The sequence below is a fragment of the Homo sapiens genome, chromosome 6 (assembly GCF_000001405.40).
Source record: "Homo sapiens chromosome 6, GRCh38.p14 Primary Assembly".
NCBI lineage: Eukaryota > Metazoa > Chordata > Mammalia > Primates > Hominidae > Homo > Homo sapiens.
Window position 1 is genome coordinate 103,177,810 of NC_000006.12, and position 21,312 is coordinate 103,199,121.

The following is a 21,312-nucleotide window of genomic DNA, read 5'->3' on the forward strand; positions in this document are numbered from 1 at the left end:
CTCATTGTGCACTTTTGACTTAACATTCTTCTATCAGAGATTTATGATCTGCTGGATACAGCAAAGTCAATTTCAAAAAAAGCAAGTAAACCTCCATTTGGGTACTCCCAATGGGGAATCGAACAGCTTGTTTTGTCTTGGCCAGGAGATGACTACAGAATTTAGAAATAGAACAATGAGTGGGGAGATCCCCAGAGGGATGAAGTCATGGCCCTCAGGCAATCTGTTCATGTATGGGTAAATTCACCCTGATCTTCTTTATGTTTCATTATCTTGAGTATAGCATATCCATTTTATCAATGAGTTCTGCTGAGCAGCTCCTTCTATATTTGCATATTTCTATTACATTTCCCAAAACACACCAGGTATTACCTGTTTCAGGATTATTTTGTATACTTCTATGTTGGGGGCATTTCTACAAATGTCTAGTGAAAAGCTAGCAATTATCTTCCAAAAGACTATAATGAATGACCATATCAGGCAGCTTTTGAGTCTAAAATCCCAGTGGTCTCTGCTGAGTTGCATTATTCAGTTTCTACCACACGCTCCTGATGTGCTTTCTTGTTGCAGTCACTTTTAAAATCATCTGAGCAGTCAGGTCATAAGGTCTCAGTGGGAAAGCCTGAGCTGTAAACCTTTGTGAAGCATTTAATGCCTGTTTCTGTTCAAAGTCCCACTCAAATTCACATTTCTTTCTGGTGAGTTTGTGAATAGAGACCAGCAGTATTTCTAAATGGGCAATGTGATTTTGTCCAAACCCAAATGGTCCCACCAGTCCCTGGGTTTCCTCTTTAGTGGCACTGTAAGAAATAATGTATTCCTCACAGTTCAAGGGATGTTTCCAATTACTTCTACCCATGTCGTTACAAAACATATCATGGACGGGGTTGTACTTTAAAGTTAATTGAATGTGGATCCACTCTTTAGTGGTCGTATGAGTGGCTACTAAATTCCTAAATATCTCAGTTCACCCTCTAGGGAATTATCAAATAAGCATTGTAGTACATTACCTTGCTTTTAAAATTTAGCAAGTCCAAGTCCAAGCCTCACTGAACTAGATTAAGATAGTATGCAGGCAAAATCACTATGCCTATAGGAAATCCTTAAATATTAACTGTCATTTCTAGAAAATGCAAATTTTGCCTTACTGGATTCTAAGGTAAAAATTGAGAATAAAGCATTAGTCAGCATACTGTGTTCTACTAATCATCTTTGGCCTTCTTCAGTTCCTGTGTAGTCTTTATTGTATCAGACATGGCTGAGGGACTCTGGAGAACCATTTTGTTTAATCTCTGAAAGTTTGTGATTAGTCTCTATAAATAGTTATTCATATTGTTAGTCTCTATGAACAATCTGGCCAGAACACCAGTCTAATAGAAATATTAAATAGGGAGTTAATGGAAATTATTGCTCTTTTATTAACCACTTCCAAAAAGAGCAATGATCTCTTGTTGCATCCTACTTAGCTTAATGTTTATTATGGGTAAATATGGGATATTATGAAGTCTCCCTTCAGCATGTCCATTTAAAATTGGACAAAAAGCAGACAGTTGACATTCCATATGAAGATGGAAAAGGCAGAGCCTTCCATTTGCACCTATTTTTTTTTCAATTATGCATCCAGGTAATGGGGATACAACCAAGAAGACGGTTTACAGTCAATTTTTGAATCATACATTTCCTATGACTTTATCCATCACCATGAAATCTTCAAGTATCAACTTTGGGACATGAAGAGTGCCCAAAAAGTAGTCACAAAAAGTTTTGCATACTAACCTGAGGCTACTTGGGAATCTCTCCTAGCCCAAGTGTTGGGAAAGTACATCCTGTTCTACCTTTTTCAGTTTTAATCTTTTTAAGACCCCCTGGTTTTAGCTTAGGGGATAAATTCAACTCTCTGTTCAATAACTTTCCACTATAAATTCTAATCCTCATAATTAGATACAAATACATTCACACTGAAATATAAAGAGCTATTTCAATAGGAGATTTAAGAGGTATCTTTGGGTCTTTCTTTGTTATCCATGACCTTGAGAGTTCTGAACGATTAAAAGCAGTTTTTTGTAAAGTGTGCTTCCATTTGGATTTGTCTGATGTTTTCTCATAATTAGACAGGGGTTATGGGTTTTGGGGAAGAATACCATAAAGGTGAGTGCTCATCTCATTTCACCTGATCAGGAGGCACATAATATTTACATGCCTTGTCACTGTTGATGTTAATCTTCATCATTTAGAAATAGATGGTTAAAGTACTGTTTGACAGGTTTATCCACGGTGAAGTTACTATTTTTTCCTTTTTCCATTCTCGATTCAAAAGGGTGAAAAACTGTGACCCACAGGCCAAATCTGGCCTACCATTCATTTTTGTAAATGAAGTTTTTACTGAAACATTGCCATAACTATTAATTTATGCTTTATCTAAGCTGCTTTGAAACATTTTTACAATAACAGAGTTGAGTATTTGTCACAGAGATCTCTGGCATGCCAAGTTTAAAATATTTAATGTCTCCTTTTAAATATAAGTTTTTCAGAGCCTGCCTATTCTTTGAAAGCAAGTCACAAAATCAAGCACAACTTCAAGAGGAGGAGAAGCATTCTGGAAGAAGAGGTATCTATAATGTTATTTGGAAATTGTATTAAATTACATTAGTCTCTCTCATTTATTTTTCCATTTATTTCTATCAGTATATGCTCATGGATATTTATTTTATTCTTTGTGTTAAAATCCAGTAGTAATATTGTTGATTATGTGGCTCAAATTGTGTCAGTTTTCATCATTAGAAAGGCTTTCAAGTTCAGGTTTACTCCAGTATGTTTTTGATATCCGTTTTTTGGGGAGGGGACTATAAGATGCTCCAGAATTGTCTTATATAATCTCTTCCCCAGTGCTAAAATCAGCCATCTCTCCAAAGACGTCTGGTTTCTTTTAGTAGAAAATGGTACTTGGAAACCAAGATCTGACCATATATACCAATATATTTATACTTATTCTGTAGTAATTGATCTGGATATACGTGTTAAAATAAACTTTTAATTTTATTTTATATAATATATATTATTATGTTTATAACAAAATAAATAAGCTTTTAATTTATTTTTCATATTGATATTTTTGACTATGAACAACAGAGTTAATATGAGACAACTTTTTTTGCTTATTTGTAACTTCTTTCTCTAACAGCAAAAACCCGGATCTAGTATCTAAATTTTTTTCAAATATTTGTTTAACCTAGTTTACATGTAAAGTGGTTTTGGTATTAATAATTGGTATATCTAAGAAAAACAAATTTACCAACTAGAATACAGGGTTTACTTTTCTTTTGTTTTGGCAGAGTTGTTTTATTTTCTGTTTTTCCTAGGTAAATACACTTAAAATTTCTAGAAGCCTATTTATAGAGGCCTCATTTTTTTCTTTTTTTTTTCTTTTTTTTAGAGACTAGGTCTTGCTCTGTTACCCAGGCTGTGTGCAATGGCACAATCATACCTCACTGCAACTTCAGACTTCCATGCTCAAGTGATTCTCTGGCCTCAGCCTCCTGAGTAGCTGGGACTACAGGTGAATGCCACCATGCCTGGCTCATTTTTAAGTTTTTTGTTGAGATGAGACCTTCCTATGTTGTCCAGGCTGGTCTCAGAACTCCTGGCCTCAAGTAATTCTCCCAGCTCACCCTCTCAAAGTGCTGGGATTTCAGGCATGAACCACCATACCTACCCAACTAATATTTTCTACATAGACAATCTCTATAGGAATTCAGAGTAAGAACAAATGAGTGCACTAAATAACCAACAAAAACTAGCAAAACAGTTCCAGTCTCAAAAGAAAATGAAAATGCTAAGGCAAAAGTCTAAATACAATTCCTAGAATTAGTTATCAGGATTCACAAAATATACATATATATGTATATATATTTTATATAAATATATAGGTGCTTATGCCATGCACAATAGGCTGACGGACGGCACATTCCCCTTGTACTTGATGAAACTGATAGTAAAATAAGAAACTATATTCAATGTCAAAAGGTGAGGACGGCTTGAAAGTGGCTATGGCTAAAATTTCCAAGTATAAGACTTGCCATATAGCTGGCAATTTGATTACATAGAACATCTACCAGTAGCCTTAAGAGGTTATAAGGTGTTAACTTGGGCTCTTAATCTACTATAGGATTTTCTTACCTTATAAAATAAGTAACCTCCAATAATATGTTTAAAGTTTTGAAACAGAAAATGTTCTGTCAATTAATCCCATCTGCTTATATTTCTTCCAAAGTTCAGATTTCACTGATGCCAATAGGCATTTCCCAAATTGGAAAGTAAAGAGAAAGATAGAAGTTGTCTCATAGAATAATAAAAATGGATTACTCAAAGACAGTTTACTTGAAACTGCTCGCAAAGTATGGATTGGGTGGTTAAGTGAATGTGTACAAAAAAATAGATATGAGGACTTCTTTTAGTTTTCACATATAAAGATATTGGATACAGTGATTCTTATACTTACATAAAGAAAAAGCTAAGTGCATTGAAAGCAACAAATTTCCTTAAACTTATTAGATAACTCAGGTCACAGGACAGAAATGTCACCCTAAGATCTGGAAACACAGTCAAATCCAGAAGTCACAGCCAAGTTATGGTTACTTTAAGCAGAACCTGGTGGAGCCATCAATTGGTAGAAAAACTTAAATGGTAATTTTGATGATGTGCCATACTAATCTGCGTGTGGACAGTTTTGAGAGCGAGGAACTACTAAGAACTTCCGTCTTAAGGAGGCCCATACACTTTAGTAGGCTTTACTTCTAGAAACTCCACCAAGTTCTCATAATGAAGAATTTAAAGAGATCTCCTCAAGGTGCTGGTAGAGAAAAGGGAAGAGTAAACATTCTGAAATATAATCAGATCCTTCTTCATAACACAGGCTTATTCTCCAAGGGAAAAGAGTTTAGCAGGTTTTCGTTTTGTTTTGTTTTCTTTGTTTTGTTTCTGAGATGGAGTCTTACTCTGTTGTCCAGGCTGGAATACACTTTTGCGATCTTGGCTCACTGCAACCTCCACCTCCCGGGTTCAAGCAATTCTCCTGCCTCAGCCTCCCTAGTAGCTGGGATTACAGGCACCCAACAACACATCTGTCTAATTTTTTGTATTTTTAGTAGATATGGGGTTTCACCATGTTGGCCAGGCTGGTCTCAAACTCCTGACTTCAGATGATCTGCCCACCTCAGCCTCCCAAAGTGCTAAGATTATAGGCATGATCCAACGTGCCCAGCCAGCAGGCTTTTATCTCACCTTGTGAAGAGACATTTATCTCATTGTAGCCCCCATAGCCTTCTTTTCTCATTTAAGAGTCAGGAAAAGAAAGCTAACAAAGACTTGTGACGGTCTATGGACACAGCCTAGGAACCCTGATAGAGATCTAATAATAAGAATATAGAATGCTTCCACTCCCCAACAATTTACTTCCTCACCAACAGGGCTCCAGTTAAATAATATTGGATTATACCAGAAAGAACATCAAGGCACAGACTCTATGTAAGGAGAAATTCTAAGAGAAACCTAAAGACAAAAGTGGAGACAAAATAAGGGCTAAGAGGGGATTTGAATCCTGTGGCACCTGCAGCTACAGCAAGGATTCGGCTCTGTCTAAGGTTCAGTTAGATTAGCATACAATCTCAAACTAAAGGCCTGTTTACCTCAATTTCTATTGCATAATACATGGTATCTGGCTTTCACCAAACAAGCCATAATTAATGCTAAAAGAAAAAGCATAGTCTTAAGAGACAAAGGAAACATTACGATGGCAGTAGAGGCCCACCTGGAGACACTGCTGCCAACATGCCAGCTGCAGTAGGGGAATCACGACTGGGCTGCATGCTCCACAGAGCTGATGGGAGAAGGCAGGAGCCTCACTCTCCTGCATGCAACTGCAGCAGCCCAAGTTGCAGCTGTGAAGTCAGGCATCCCTGTGCTCTTGGGGTCTGGGAGCAGGCAGGAGCCCCACCCTCCTGGGTGCAGCTGCAGCTGCCCAAGTCATGGCTGTGGAATGGCCATATCTGCACTCTTTGGGATCCAGAAGACCCCCACTACCCCCACAGGCTTGGAGGTGCCTGCTCCTGCTGCCTGACTGCAACCTGCTCCCAGCACCTACCCTGATCTTGTACCAAGGTTGGGGCTGAGCAGCCAGGGTGCTGTTGCAGCCCAAACAGGTGTGCATACACTCAGGGCATGTTGACACACCAGCCTCCTTGCACTTCAGCCCTCTCCAGACTTTGGGAACAGACAAGCATGGAAGGGAGGCAGAGGGAGTGCCGAGGGCAGCTTTGTACTGGTCTGCAGGCGCCCCTTGGCATAAACATCCTGAGCACCATGGACAGCAGCAGGAGGCAGACAGGCTTCTGAACAGAAGAGGGTGGGTCCTTGGTGAGGACCCACCTTCAAGCTGGGGAGGGCCTGAAGCCTGGGGGCTGGACTGCCAGTCCCCTGGACTGGAATAGGTACTTGCAGTGCTTTTTCCAGCCTGCCTATGGCCACCTGTGCACCAATCAGCATGCACCTTCTCCCCTCTGAAGCCCGTAAGTGCCCCAGACTCAGCCAAACTTGAGCAAATGACAGGTAAATCAGCTGCTGAGAGGAGCTAGCAACCCCAGGGTCTCCTCTCTGCTGAAAGCTGAACACTCATCAGGATATCCTGTCTGGGGAGAGGAGCTACCCACTGTGGGTCTCCTCTGAGCTGTTCTATCACTCAATTAAAGGTTCACTTGACCTTGTTTACCCTCCACTTGTCCACATACCACTTTCTTCCTGGGCACAGGGCAAGAACTCAGGACCTACCAAATGACAGGGACAAAAGTGATGTAACACAAACAGGGCTGAAATGTGCCTCTTGCTTGCCACGTGTGGGTGACAAGAAGAAGAGAGGAGAAAAAGAGAGAAGGGCTGTAGCCTTTTGAAGAGCCAGACCTAGAGCTCCCTGAGCCAGGACTTGACACTCTCTTTGGGGCTATGCAGTTCCTGGTATTTCTAAGCTTCTGGGTGCCACCAAGTTCCCTGGTGCCAGCTGTGGAAGCTGCTTGCAGTACTCCTATTCCAGGAGCAGCCAGCAAGGAGCTGGCGCCTGTGCCAGCACCTGGAGCTGCCCACCCCACCGCAGCCAAGGTGCCTAGCTGTGTGCAGTGACTGGACCCCATGCTTGTTCCCACATCCCTCAGTGCTTTGCACCTGGGTCACCTTTGGCAGGGATGGGATTTAGGCTGGTACTGCGAGCTGAGTGCAGCCAGCTAGGCTGAGTGGGTGGAATGAGCCTAGTGGACCTGAGCAAAGCTAGGGCAAAGGCATCACTGACCACAGAGGTTTCAAGCCAGAAAAGCATCACCTCAAGAATCCCATGAGAATTACAACCAGATTCAGATAAGATTCATATTTTGGAGTTATCAGATAATAAATTTAAAGTAACTATGGTTAAAATGTTAATAATTATAAGAGAAAAAATTAACATGTTTCAAGAATAGAGAAGGAAATGCTAAGAATCAAAAGTAAATAATAGAAAACATTGCAATATAAATAACAACTGTCTTAGGCTAATCAGTAGGCAGAATACAGCGAAGAAATTAAACTGTGAGTTTAAAGGTCTATAGAAGCTAAAATAAATCAATATACTCTTCCCAAATTAAAAAGTAAAGAATAAAATATAGTTTAAAAAAGGGAATCAAACATTCCAAAACTGTGGGACCAATTCATAGGTGTATAATACACATACTTTGCTGTTTCAGAAAGGAAAGAAGGAAAGAAAGAAAGAGAGAGAGAAAGAAAGGAGGGAGAAAGAAAGAAAGAAGGAAGGAGGGAGGGAGGAAGGAAGGAAAGACAGAAAGGAAAGAAAGAGAAAGGCAGAAAGAATGGAAAGAAAGAGAAAGAAAGAGAGAGAAAGAAGAGAAAGAAAAAAAGAAGGAAGGAAGGGAGGGAAGATGAGGAAGGGAAGAAGGGAGGAGGGAGGGAGGGAGATGAAATATTTGAAGTAAACATTTGAAGACACCATAATGAATTTCTCAGTTTAATGACAGGCATCAAACCACAGATTCAGCAAGCTCAGTGAACACATCAAGTAACATTAATAGAAAAATATACTAAGCTAATCATGTTATAATCAAACTACAGAAAACATAAAACAAAGAGAAAACATTGAAAGAAGCCAAAGGAAGAGAAAGGATGACCTAAAGAGAGAGCAGTAAAAAAACACATCAGACTTTTCATCAGAAACCACATAAGCAAGAAGAGACTAGAGTGAAATATTTAAAGTGTTGAAAAACAAAACCCCACTAATCTAGATTCTATGTACAGTGAAAAGATCCTTCAAAAGTTAAAGATAAATATAGATTTTCTCAAGCAAAAACTGAAGGTACCCTAGCACTCAGAGCTGTCACGCAAGAAATGCTAAAATTTATTTAAGTAGTAGAAAAATAATATGTCATAAATTTGATCTTCATAGAAATAGAAAGATCAGAAAAATAATAACTGAATGAAAAATAAAATATTTTATTTTTGTTATCCTAACCAACCTAAAAACCATTTGTTTAAAGAAATTATAACAAAGTATTGGGTGACGGTAGGTTATGAATTCATGAAATAAATAACAACAATATCCTATGGGACACTAAGGAAAAACTGGAAATAGTCCATTATAAATTATAGTAGTTTGAAGGTGGGATTTGATTGGTTAAACATGTATGTTGTAACTCTAGGTCAATTGCTAAATTTTTTGAAGTCTAATTAATATGCTAAGGGAAGAAATAAAATTTAATTATATAAATGTTCAATTAACACCATCAAAGCTAGAAAAGGGAAAGCAAGAAAAAAACAAATTTACAGGCAGAAAACAGTTGCCAACATGGTAGATACTAAACCAACTCTATTAATAGGAGCTTTAAATGTGGTCTGAATATACCACCTAGAACAAAGGTATCATCTTAAAGTATGAGAAAAAAAGACCCAATTATATGTTATATGCAAGAATTAGTTAAAGTTAGATTAAAATGAAGAGATGCAAAAATATATACCATAGTACCATTAATCAAAACAAATGTGGAGCAGTTACATTGATTTTAAACAATATGTCTGATAAACCAAGCAAGCATTCAAGGGCAGAACCTAAGCACTGGGACCTTGGTGCAGGGACTGAATTAAGAATTGAACACTGCATGGCAGGATTCAGGATTCAATTCAGATTGAGCCCTGGCGTCTCTCCATGGTAGGATCCAGTCAGATCATGCCTCCTGGCATTATTTCATTGTGATATCCACTCACATCATGGCTGATTAACCTACGCTTATAAAACCAATCCAGCTCCAGCTCAAGAAGACAGATTTCAGCATTTTCTCTTGTCTCCTTGCTAGTCAACTTGCAATAATTTTTAATTTTTTTTTCAATAGCTGGTGCCATGGTACTTCTATGCGCATCTGGAAGTGAGCCCATTTATTGCTTAGTAACAAAATCATCATTGCTCACCCAAACAGGAATACTTGATGAAACTCAATTTCATTAGAGTAGTGTAGCTGGAAGTAGATATGAAGATACATCAAAGATGCAATTAAATAGACCATTGAATAATGACTGAAATGTAGTACCATCCCCATCAATAACCATCCCCATCAATAACAAATTTAACAACAGACTATAAGACTGTTGGATATCTGATCACTATGGAGTCTATGCCATTAAAGGGCTATGATCCAGGATGCTAGAGAATCAAGCCACAAAAATAAGCTGTGAAAAAACCATGAGAAGCCTACACCATGGGAATGTGTAACTGAACGGTGTATTTTTTTTCCACTGTTCTCAAATGGCTTGAGTACCATGAACTAAGGGGCGCCTGATTGGGATTGAAGAGATAAAGGAACAACCTCCTAATGCAGTTATATGGTCCTAAAAATATAAAAATCTGTACTATAGTTTCTGTAGTGTCGTTATATTCACTACCCAGATAGAAATCTAAACTTACTAAATAATAACTTCTATTAAGCACACAAGATACCAGGAAAGTTTATTATGTGGAAAAGCATCTTTGTCTGCTATGATGAAAGAGAGGATGGTACTGTGAGTTCAACTGATGTATGGCATGTCAATTACTACCTTGATACCTCTGATTTTGCTATAAGGTGTGACAAAACCTGTAAAAGTTTTTAGACAAAATTATATAAAAAGAAGTTTTACACAAATGATGATTCCCAAGGTGAGAAAATATTTTGGGAGACTGAGTTAAGATTCCAGTTGATATAAAATTCATGGAAACCAATAAGTGAATTTATCCTTAAAATTATTCATACCAAAGTTTGTTAACACCTATTAAATTTTTCAAATAATTCTGAATGATAAAGAAAAATCAGTTGGTAGAAGAATATCAAAAAGAATGATCTTTCTTGATGAAGAAAGATCAAATTGGTAGAAGAATATTGAGAAGTATATCAAGGAATATGGTCACAATTAACATGATTTGTAGAGGAAATTCATATTCTTCTTTGGAAATTTCAAATTAGTGTGTTCATTGAAAATATTTGTTGGCTTATTTTTTTGTATGAGATATTGTAGAAAATGTAAATTATAAAAAAGATACCTGAGTAACATCCAGCAAGATAATAATGACTGAGATCACAGAAGAGGATAGAATATGTTAAAATAGCTAGCCTGTGATCTGTCTCTTCATACTTACCTTAGAAGTTCCTGGGGGTGGGGTGGAGAAAAAGCCAGGCAAGCAGGAATAGCCTTCCTATAAACATACTAACAACTACTCCAACTATAAATAGGTTGATCATATTTTTTAGGAAGATAATATTTATCTACATAATATTCTAAGAACTAGAATATTACATATTAGAATTTATTAGAATTGCTTATGGTAAATCCATAATTTAAAAACCCATAGTTGGAATTTATGGATTCATGTGCAAAGGTCCCCAGAAAATATTGCAGATGCTAGGTGAAGATCTTAGGCATAAAATAGATATTTTTTGTAAGTGAAACATATCTGCTATGTGACTGAAAAAAAAACCAAATTTAATACTTTCTATGTAAACCTGAGCCAAATAACAATTATTCTATGAGAAGGAAAGATTTGTGAGCTCTCAACAATGTCCCAGATGTCTCCTTGCTTCACGTCTAATTCTTAAATGCTGGTATGATTGAAATTATTTTGAAAGCTTGATAGTGAGTAAGGTTGTTGTTTATGTTAGTTAGATTTGACAATGCAGTCCTTTTATTAATTCCAGTAAAATAATTATCTAACAATAATTTATTGTTAGATATATAACAATAAATTCATCTAATTATTTATTATATATTAGTTATATAAAATATTAATATTTAATTTTGTATTTCGATATCAAAATTTGCATAAATTTAATATATCCATTAAAAATAATATATCTGTTTATAATATCTTATAAATACATTTTTATTATTCATTATTTATTTAATATGTCAAATATTTTATGAATATATTATCACATATCAATGATGATCAAATATCTGAATTCAACTTTTGGCCCCAAATTATATAAATCTTTATTAATATTAGTAAAAACCAAAATTTTAAAACAAAAATACTTATTAACAAAATAATTATAACAAAATATTAAACCTATATTTTTTCGGAATGCATGTTACAGAATGAAACGTACTTTATGTTGATTTCTAATTTTTAGTTTTTCATTATATAATTTAAGGCATGATGCAGAGGAAACCAAGGAAAGAAAGATTAATTGTTAAGAATTCATAGAAATTTCATTCATCTTTCATAAAAATACATACAAAAAAGTTAAAAATTAAAATCATTAAAGCTAATGGAATCTATTATATTTAAATAGCTTATTTCGCAGGTGAAGAGATATTGTTTTAGATTATAAAGCCACCGTATTAAATGAGCCTTCAAATTGCACTGACATAACAGTAAAACTTTATTTCTCACTCAAAATAACAAGATTGCAGCTGTAAGTTAGAGGGCAATTTTCCTTTACATCAGGGGTCCCCAATCCCCAGGCTGAGGACCAGTACCAGTCTCTAGCCTGTTAGGAACCGGGTCACACAGCAGGAGGTGAGCAGGAGCAGAGCAAATTTTACCTCCTGAGTTCTGCCTCCTGTTGGATCAGAAAGGACATCAGATTCTCAGAGTAGCACAAACCCTATTGTGAACTGTGCATGTGAGGGATCTAGGTTGCATGCTCCTTATGAGAATCAAACTAATGCTTGATGATCTGAGGTGCAACAGTTTCATCCTCAAGCCATCCCCTTAACCCCCTGTGACAAAATTGTCTTCCATAAAACCTGTCCCTGGTGCCAAAAATGTTGGGGACCGCTGCTTTACATGGTGATTCAGAGATCTAATCTTTGAGGTCACAGCCAGGCACAGAGGCTCACACCTGTAATCCCAGCTCTTTGGGAGGTTGAGGCAGGTGGATCACATGAAGTTAGGAGTTCAAGACAAGCCTGATCAACATGGGAAACTCTGTATTAACAAAAAATACAAAAATTAGCCTGGTGTGGTGGCACACACCTGTAGTCCGATCTACTCAGGAGGCTGAGGTGGGATAATCACTTGAATCTGGGAGGTGGAGTTTGCAGTGAGCTGAGATCGTGCCACTGCACTCTAGCCTGGGCGACAGAGCGAGACTCCATCTCAAAAAAAAAAAAAAAAGAAATATTTGGGGTCACAGTTTTTTCATCCACTAGAGCATCATTGTTGTCTTCATCCAACTAATGCTAAGGGGGTTTTAAAGTAAGATCTAGTTTTCAAAACCTTTGACCAGGAAGTGGCACATTACTTTCACTTTCATTGCTTTGCTAGAATTAGTCAAATGCGCACATCTCTGTGATTTCAGTACCTATGTAGTAAGAAGCTACTCCTTGACAACATCTTGAAAACATGAAAGGGGTGCAGAAATTTTAGTGGACAATTGGCTAATTCAGGTACAGGGTATGGCTTACTATGTTATTATGAATTCAGCATTATAACACCAGCCTTGCTATTAAATTGCTACATAATCCCTGTTTATGGTTTTGGTAGATCTTAGCTTTAGATTCTTAGTTTATTAAGAAGAAAATGTCAAACTAAATAATTTCCTGATTTTTATTTTTATAAATTTAAACTTTTATTAACCATTCGCAAATAAACAAATTCAAGCAAGCATTCAAATTGGGTCTGTGCATATTTTTAACCACTGTGTGCTACCATCATTACTAATAATAAAGAGTTAAACATAAATTAATTTTAAAACCTATGGTTACATTTCATCAATTTAAAATAATCTAGAACATAAATCCTTCTACCCTGTCTTAGTCAATTTTGTGTTGCTTTTAAGAAATCCATGAAGCTCAGTAATTTATAAAGAAAAAAATTAATTGGCTTATAATTTTTATGTTTGGAAAAGTTCAATATTGGGCATCTGCATCTGGTGACAGCCTGAGACTGCTTCCACTCATGTGGAAGGTGAAAGGGAGCTGGTATGTGCAGAGATTTCATGGTGAGAAAGGAAACAAGAGAGACAGAGGAGGCGCCAACTTCTTTTTAACAATCAACTCTTGTAAGAACTAATAGAATGAGAAGTCTCATTCACTGCCTCCTACCCAGGAAGAGCATTAATCTCTTCATGAGAGGTTTGCTTCTTTGACCAAAACACCACCTTATGACATTGGTTCTCCAAATCTTATGTCCTTCTGACATACAAAATACTACACAATGTCATATCATTCTATGTCAATAGTTCCCAAAAGTCTTAACTTGTTCCAGCATCAACTCTAAAGTCCAAAGTTTCATCTGAGATTCAAGGCAAGTTCCTTTCAGCTATGAGCCTTTAGGATCAATAAAAATTTATTTACTTTCAAGATACAATGATTTTGCAAGCATTGGGTAAACATTTCCTTTTCAAAATGAAGAAATTGTCCAAAACCAAAGGGTCTCAGTCCTCACACAAGTCCAAACGCAGCAGGACAGACATTAAATCTTAAAGCTCCAAAATCTTCCTTTATTCCATGTCCTACATCCTGAGAATCTTCGTGTGCAGAGTGAGCTCCTGATACCTTGGTCAGCCTCACCTAATAACTTTGCTGGACACAGCCCAAGTGGCTACTCTCACAGATTGTTGTCAAATGCCTGTGGTCTTTAAGAGTGAGAGTGCAGGCTTCCAATGGCTGTATAATTCTCTAATTCTTGGGACTGGAGGGTGGTGGCTCTACTCCCAAAGCTCCACTAGGCACTTCTCTAGCAGAAACTCTGAGTTGACTCCACCTCTGTGGCAAGCTTCTTCTGGGCACCCAGGCTTTTCAGTACATCCTCCAAAATCTAGGTGGAAGCAACCAAGCCTCCACCACTCCTGGATTCTGGGAACCTGCAGACTTAATACCACATGGAAACTGTCAAAGCTTACAGCTTTGTGTTTTGAAGCAGTGGACTAAGGTGTTTGTGGAGCCATTTGAGCCATGGGTGAAGCTGTAGTGGCCAGGATGCAGGGAGCAGCATCCCAAGGTGACGCAAGGCAACAACTTGCCAAGCCTGGTGCCCAAAACCATTCTTTCTTCTATTCCTTTAAGCCTGTGATGATAGAGGCAACCTCAAAGATTTCTGAAATGACTTCAGGGCCTTTTTCCCATTGTCTTCACTATTAGAACCTGACTCCCTTTTAGTCACGCTAATCTCTTTAGTAAATGGTTGCTCCACAGCATGCTTGGATTCCTCTCCTGAACATACTATTTTCTCTCCTACCACATGAACAGGCTGCATGTTTTTAAAATTGTTTTTCTCTGCTTCCCTTTCAATTATAAATTCCACCTTTAGGTCATTCCTTTTTTGCTGTATCTGATTCTAAGTGGTTAAAAGTAGCCATACCACTTTTTGAACACTTCGCTGCTTGGAAACTTCTTCTGCCAGTACCTTAGATCATCCCTCTTTCTTTTTTTTTTTTTTTTTTTTTTTTTTTTTTTTTTTTTTTTGAGACGGAGTCTCGCTCTGTCGCCCAGGCTGGAGTGCAGTGGCGGGATCTCGGCTCACTGCAAGCTCCGCCTCCCGGGTTCACGCCATTCTCCTGCCTCAGCCTCCCGAGTAGCTGGGACTACAGGCGCCCGCCACTACGCCCGGCTAATTTTTTGTATTTTTAGTAGAGGCGGGGTTTCACCGTTTTAGCCGGGATGGTCTCGATCTCCTGACCTCGTGATCCGCCCGCCTCGGCCTCCCAAAGTGCTGGGATTACAGGCGTGAGCCACCGCGCCCGGCCTAGATCATCCCTCTTAAGTCCAGGTTTCTGCAAAGCCCTAAGGCATGAACACGATACAGCCAACTTCTTTACTACAACATAACATGAGTGACCTTGGCTCCAATTCCCAATCAGTTCCTCATTTCCATCTTAGATCTCATCAGCATGGCCTTTACTGATTACATTTCTATTAGCATTTTAGTCACAACCACTTAACCAATCTTAAAGTAGGCCCAAACTTTCCCTCATCTTTTTTGTCTGCTTCTGAGCCCTTCAGACTCTTCCAGTCTCTGCCCATTACCCAGTTTCAAAGCCACTTCTACATTTTCAAGTATCTTTACATCAATGTCTCACTGCTTGGTACCAATTTTCTGTCTTAGACTGTTTTATGTTGTTTTAAAGGAATACATGAGGAGGTGTAATTTATAAAAAGGAAAGATTTACTTGGCTCACAATTCTGATGTCTAGAAAAGTTCAAGATTGGGCATCTGCATCTGGTGAGGGTCTCAGGCTGCTTCCACTCCCGTGGAAGGCAGAGGAGCCAGCATGGGCAAAGATCACATGGTGAGAGAGGAAGCAAGAGAGAAAAGGGAGTTTCCAGGCTCTTTTTAACAACCACATTGATGAGAACTAACAGAGCAAGAACTCAGTCACATCCCACGCCCTGTAGAGCATTAATCTATTCATGAGGAGTCTGCTCCACTCAAACATCTCCCATTAAGATGCTACCTCCAACACTGGGATCTAATTTCAACATGAGGCTTCAGGGAACGAACATCTAAACTATAGCCACCCCTGAATACCACCCAAATCACAAGTATTTGTAGAATAGGTTATCGTTACAATCCAAGGGTAGGCAATATTGGAGGGTTCATTGGATGTATTGGAGGTCCTGCAGCTGAAATGTATTTTCAAGCATTAGGAAATTAGTGAGTTGCTCTTATGTCTGTAGAAGTTATTACACTTAGTATTTTAAAGACTTCTAATATTGAGACGGTTCAAAGTAATTATCAGTGGCAATGCCCTTTCTGATTAGACAAAAGAGCAGTGAAAACAATCTTCTTTCATTAGCTATTTCAAGTTTGAAAGGGTTTTAAGGTATAATTGAACTTTTAAACCATACTTTATTTAGTAGCTAGAGGGTTAAAAGCTTCATTAGGCAAGAATGTATACTTTAATGTTCATAAAACATTACACTTTTACTGTTTTTATAACTGTATTGTGAAGGAATTAATGAGTCTTAGTAATTAATTGTGTAGTTCAGTTCAATTTAGTTTCTGTAAAAAAAAGTTGTTTATATTATTCTTAATAAAATCTAATCCATTTGATACTGTGATAAGATCTTAACATAATAAATGCAAAATACACCCCTTCCTCAGGTTGCAAAACCAATTTACATGTAGATGACACAATTTTATATCTCCTGTAGCATAATTTAGTTTGCATTTTCAGAAAGCACAAAATGAGCAGTTTTTCCCCTTGGTAAACTACAAAAATGTGTGTAGGTACTTCTCTCATAGTACAAAAATCAATCTGAAAAACAGTAATTGAAAAGTTTCTTAGGGATTATAATTGATTTAACGTATAAAGTTGAAGGTAACATATTTATTATTTTCAAATTTATTTTTGAATAAGGATGTACATTACACTGGTTTTCTTCACTATATTGTGTGTGCACATGTATGTGTGTGAATGTGTGTGTGTATATGTATACATAACCTATTTTTGTTACAGATTTTTATAATGATTTAGAAAACTATTAAAATGTGCTTGTACAACACACATGAGAATTATTTCTTACAGAATATAAATGATTAATTTGTAGTATCATTTCACTCAATAGTAATCAAAATTATTCACAAGAAACAGAACCCAAGCAAAGCATTCGCTAAGATAATGCCATACATAATATTTTCTAAGCCTGAAAATAATGTATTCAAAAATCCTAATTTAAATAAAAAAAGGTAAACTCTACAATCATTTAACTCTATAGTGAAAGAAAAACTGATGCATAGTATTTGTAAATGAACTGTTTCAACACATATTAAGAACAATTTGATAAATGCCCTACAAATATAAAACTGGGTGCCAAAGTACAATGTGGAAAAATATATCATAATTTAAAAATAATATTTTAAATTTACATGCCACTACTGAAATTATGTAAGAGAATGAGCAACAGACAGAAATGTTGAGATTAGTATGTATATTCAATAAATTTTATGTATATAAATTCTAAGTATATGTTTATCATAAAACATTTATTGACAGAATAATTGTATAATATTAATAATGCAGTCCTATCTGTCATCTATCATGACTTTCCTCAATATTCTCATCTCATCAATTTTAGTAACTTCTTACGATTTTGTGGGGCACATAATGATGAAATCTTTATTATTCATTTATGCAAACATATTATAGTATTAAATTGACTAAATATGCAAATTGTTCTGTAATGGCTTTTGAGCCAAGAATAAATAAATGCTACAACAAATTGAAAAGAAGGTTTAGATTTCTTTCTTGAGGACAAGAGAAACTGGATAGTGTCAGAACCTCTACATATGAATGTAAATTCTATTCTTATTTCATATCACTACATATAACATTAATATTGAAGAATGTTAATAGTTTTCTTTAAAAATTACAATTTTAATCCAAATCTAATCCAATTGGAATTGGATTTCAGGAATAATTTAAACAAATTAAAACATACTCAGAATTCTTCCAGAAAATGGCCTTCAAGAATGTCAAGATTTGACTCTCCATATGTTTTTCAAATAGACCAAAACCCAGTGGATTAAAGAATATATTGCAAGAAAAATACTAAATAAGATAAATAAGTTAAAACAATTATATACTAAATATATATATTTATATACATATACTAAGAAAGATAAATAAGTTAAACTATTACATGCTTAATAAAGTAACAAAATTTAAATAAAATTGAGAATCTAAATGAACCTAAGAAAACTTACTGTCAGTTATTATAAATGGACATTTTTTTCTATTAGGACTCTAAATTATTGGAAAACATGACACAATTTTGAATACAGTGTATATTTAGAATGGCCTGCTCTTAGTTTGAGTGAGTCTAAGCCCTATCTACAACCTACAAGGTAACCATAAATACAACTCTTAGTAGGGTCTGCCATAATTAAAATGCCCACAGGAGTGGTATGGTACAGTGGTTTTTGACACTTGTGCAATTTATTTATATTACTTTTACTGGTATCTACTAAATACACCTTCACTCAATTTTGAATCAATAGTATGTCTTGAATTTCCCATTTAAAAATTCTCTACATATTTTTTAATGAGAAAAATGTAATCACATCATCAATAATATATTTACTGTTTAAATAGCAATTACAATTACATAGGTATTTGTGCAACCCAAGTTTATATGCATAAAGTATTCAAAACATTATGATGTTACATTGATGTTTAGAATAAATTCTTTGAACTGAATAAAACTTGTTGATTCCAACTAGATTACTATTCTTGTGTGATTCCAGAAACTACACAAACTCTTAATGCTATTACAATGCAAAAATAATACAAATACAATGAGTAAAATAAATTTCTACCAAAATAGCATAATTATGTTTAGTGGAGAGAATAACAATATGCTTCAGCTTTTAATTATGAGAATATAGTTGATGGTTATATTATTAAATACTGCTCATCTTTAAAAATTGCAATTACATTAAAAGAGAAGAAAATGTAAATACTTTAGTTAAAATTAATGCAAATGACACAAAGTAAAATTCAAAATATTCTAATATTTTAAACAGTATTTTAAAATATTTAATATTATTCAATAAAGTTAAAAAAGAGTAAGCTATAATTAAAATAGTTGAATTGCAAATCTGCATTAGTTTAATAATAAAGATGAATTTTTATACAAATGTTTGAAAAAGTAATGAATTACTAAATAATTCTATGAAAATCTTCATGTCTTTTCAATAAATAGTATTTGGAAAACTGTATATTCACATGCAAAATACTAAAATTAGATCCATGTCTTACACCATATACAAATTCACTCAAAATAAATCAAAGGCTTAAATGTAACGTCTGAAATAATAGAGCTCCTAGAAGAAAACAGAGGGAAAGAGCTCCTTGACATAGGTCTTTACAATTATTTTTTTAATATAACATCAAATTCAAAGGCAAAAAAGCAAAACTAAAAAAGTAGGACTACAAAATAAAAAGCTTCTGGGAGCAAAAGAAACAATCAACGAAATAAAAAGACAACCTAGGGAATGGGAGAAAATATTTGCAAATTGCATATTTGATAAAGAGTTAATATTCAAAATATATAAAGAACTCACGTAAATTAGTAGCAAAAAACCAAATAATTTGATTTTTAAATGAGCAAAAGACCTCAATATATATTTTTCCAAAAAAGACATAAAACACCCAAATGCTTTATGAAAATGTGCTCAACAACACTAATCATAAGGGAAATGCAAATTAAAACCACAATGAGATATCATCTCACACCTGTTGGGATGGCTATTGTCAAAAAGAAAAGAGAAAACAAGTGTTGGCAATGGTGTAGAGGAAAGAAACTCTTGTACACTGTTGGAGGAAATGTAAATTGGTGCAGACATTATGGAAAACACTATGAAAGTCCCTCAAAAACCTAAAAATAAAACCACCATATGATCTAGCAATCTCACTTAATCAGTGTCAAAGAGATATCTGCACTCACATGTTCATTGCAGCATTAATCACAGTAGCCAAGGTATGGAAACAACCTAAGTGTCCATCAATAGATGAATAGATTTTAAAATGACAGAGAGATAGATATATAGCTAGAGAGATGATAGACAGAATTGAATATTGTCCAGTAACACACAAAAATCCTGTCCTTGTGACTACATGGATGAACCTGGAGGACATTAAGCTCTGTGCAGTAAACCAGACCCAGGAGGACAGATGCTGTATGATCTTACTTATATGTGGAATCTGAAAAAGTTTAACTCATAGAAGCAGAGGCTAAAAAAGTGGTTCTCAGTGGCTGGGAGTTGGGAAAAATGGGGAGATACTGGTCAGTTATCAGATGAATATGTTCTGGGGATCAAATGTACAGCATGGTGACTATAGTTAATAATACCACATTGTCTACTTGAAATTTGATAAAATAGCAAATTTTAAGTGTCCTCACCAAACACATACCCACACACACAGATGCATGGCACATGCACAAATAGTAATGTGGTTTATATTATATTTTTTAAAATAAAAAATTATGATATTCAATGTTTTCCTAGATGCTAATAAAATGAATAAATACCATATTTTGCCCTTGTTAATAGATGTAACTGTATTCAAATTTGAAATGTAATGTCAATTATTTAATATTAAACATTGTTAGTCAGCTGCTATACATGTCTTTTCAGTGTTGTAAATTCAGGCAGTCTTTTAAAAGCTGGGATTGGAATATTAAGAAAAGTAATAAACTTCATGTTTTGCTTTCTTAGAAAAAAATACACGGACACTGTATTGTGCAAGAATCTTTTGCGTTCACGATATCTGAGAGGCAGCATTTGACAAGTTAATTATGTGTGTTTTGTTTTGTTTTGTTTGAGATGGAATCTCTCTCTGTTGCCAGGCTGGAGTGCAGTGGCGCGATCTCTGCTCACTGCAACCTCCTCCTCCCGGGTTCAGCCATTCTCCTTCCTCAGCCTCCCATGTAGCTGGGACAACAGGCACATGCCACCATGCCCAGATAATTTTTGTATTTTTAGTAGAGACAGGGTTTCACCATGTTGGCCAGGATGGTCTCAATCTCCTGACCTTGTGATCTGCCCGCCTCAGCCTCCCAAAGTGCTGGGATTATAGGCGTGAGCCACCGTGCCCGGCCCATTTGTTTGTTTTTTGACTAAGCACAAAGAATGAAACTTTTCTATACTTGTAACCAGAATCAGTCTACAATGTCAGACGTAAAATTTTTATAATATTTGAGTGCATTAGTCTTTTGTTTCAAAAACACAGGACTAGAAATGTAAAGATGACTTTGCTTGTTAGTCACCCCATGAGTTGGTGTTTAGGTTACAGGTCATGCTTTGACAGTATT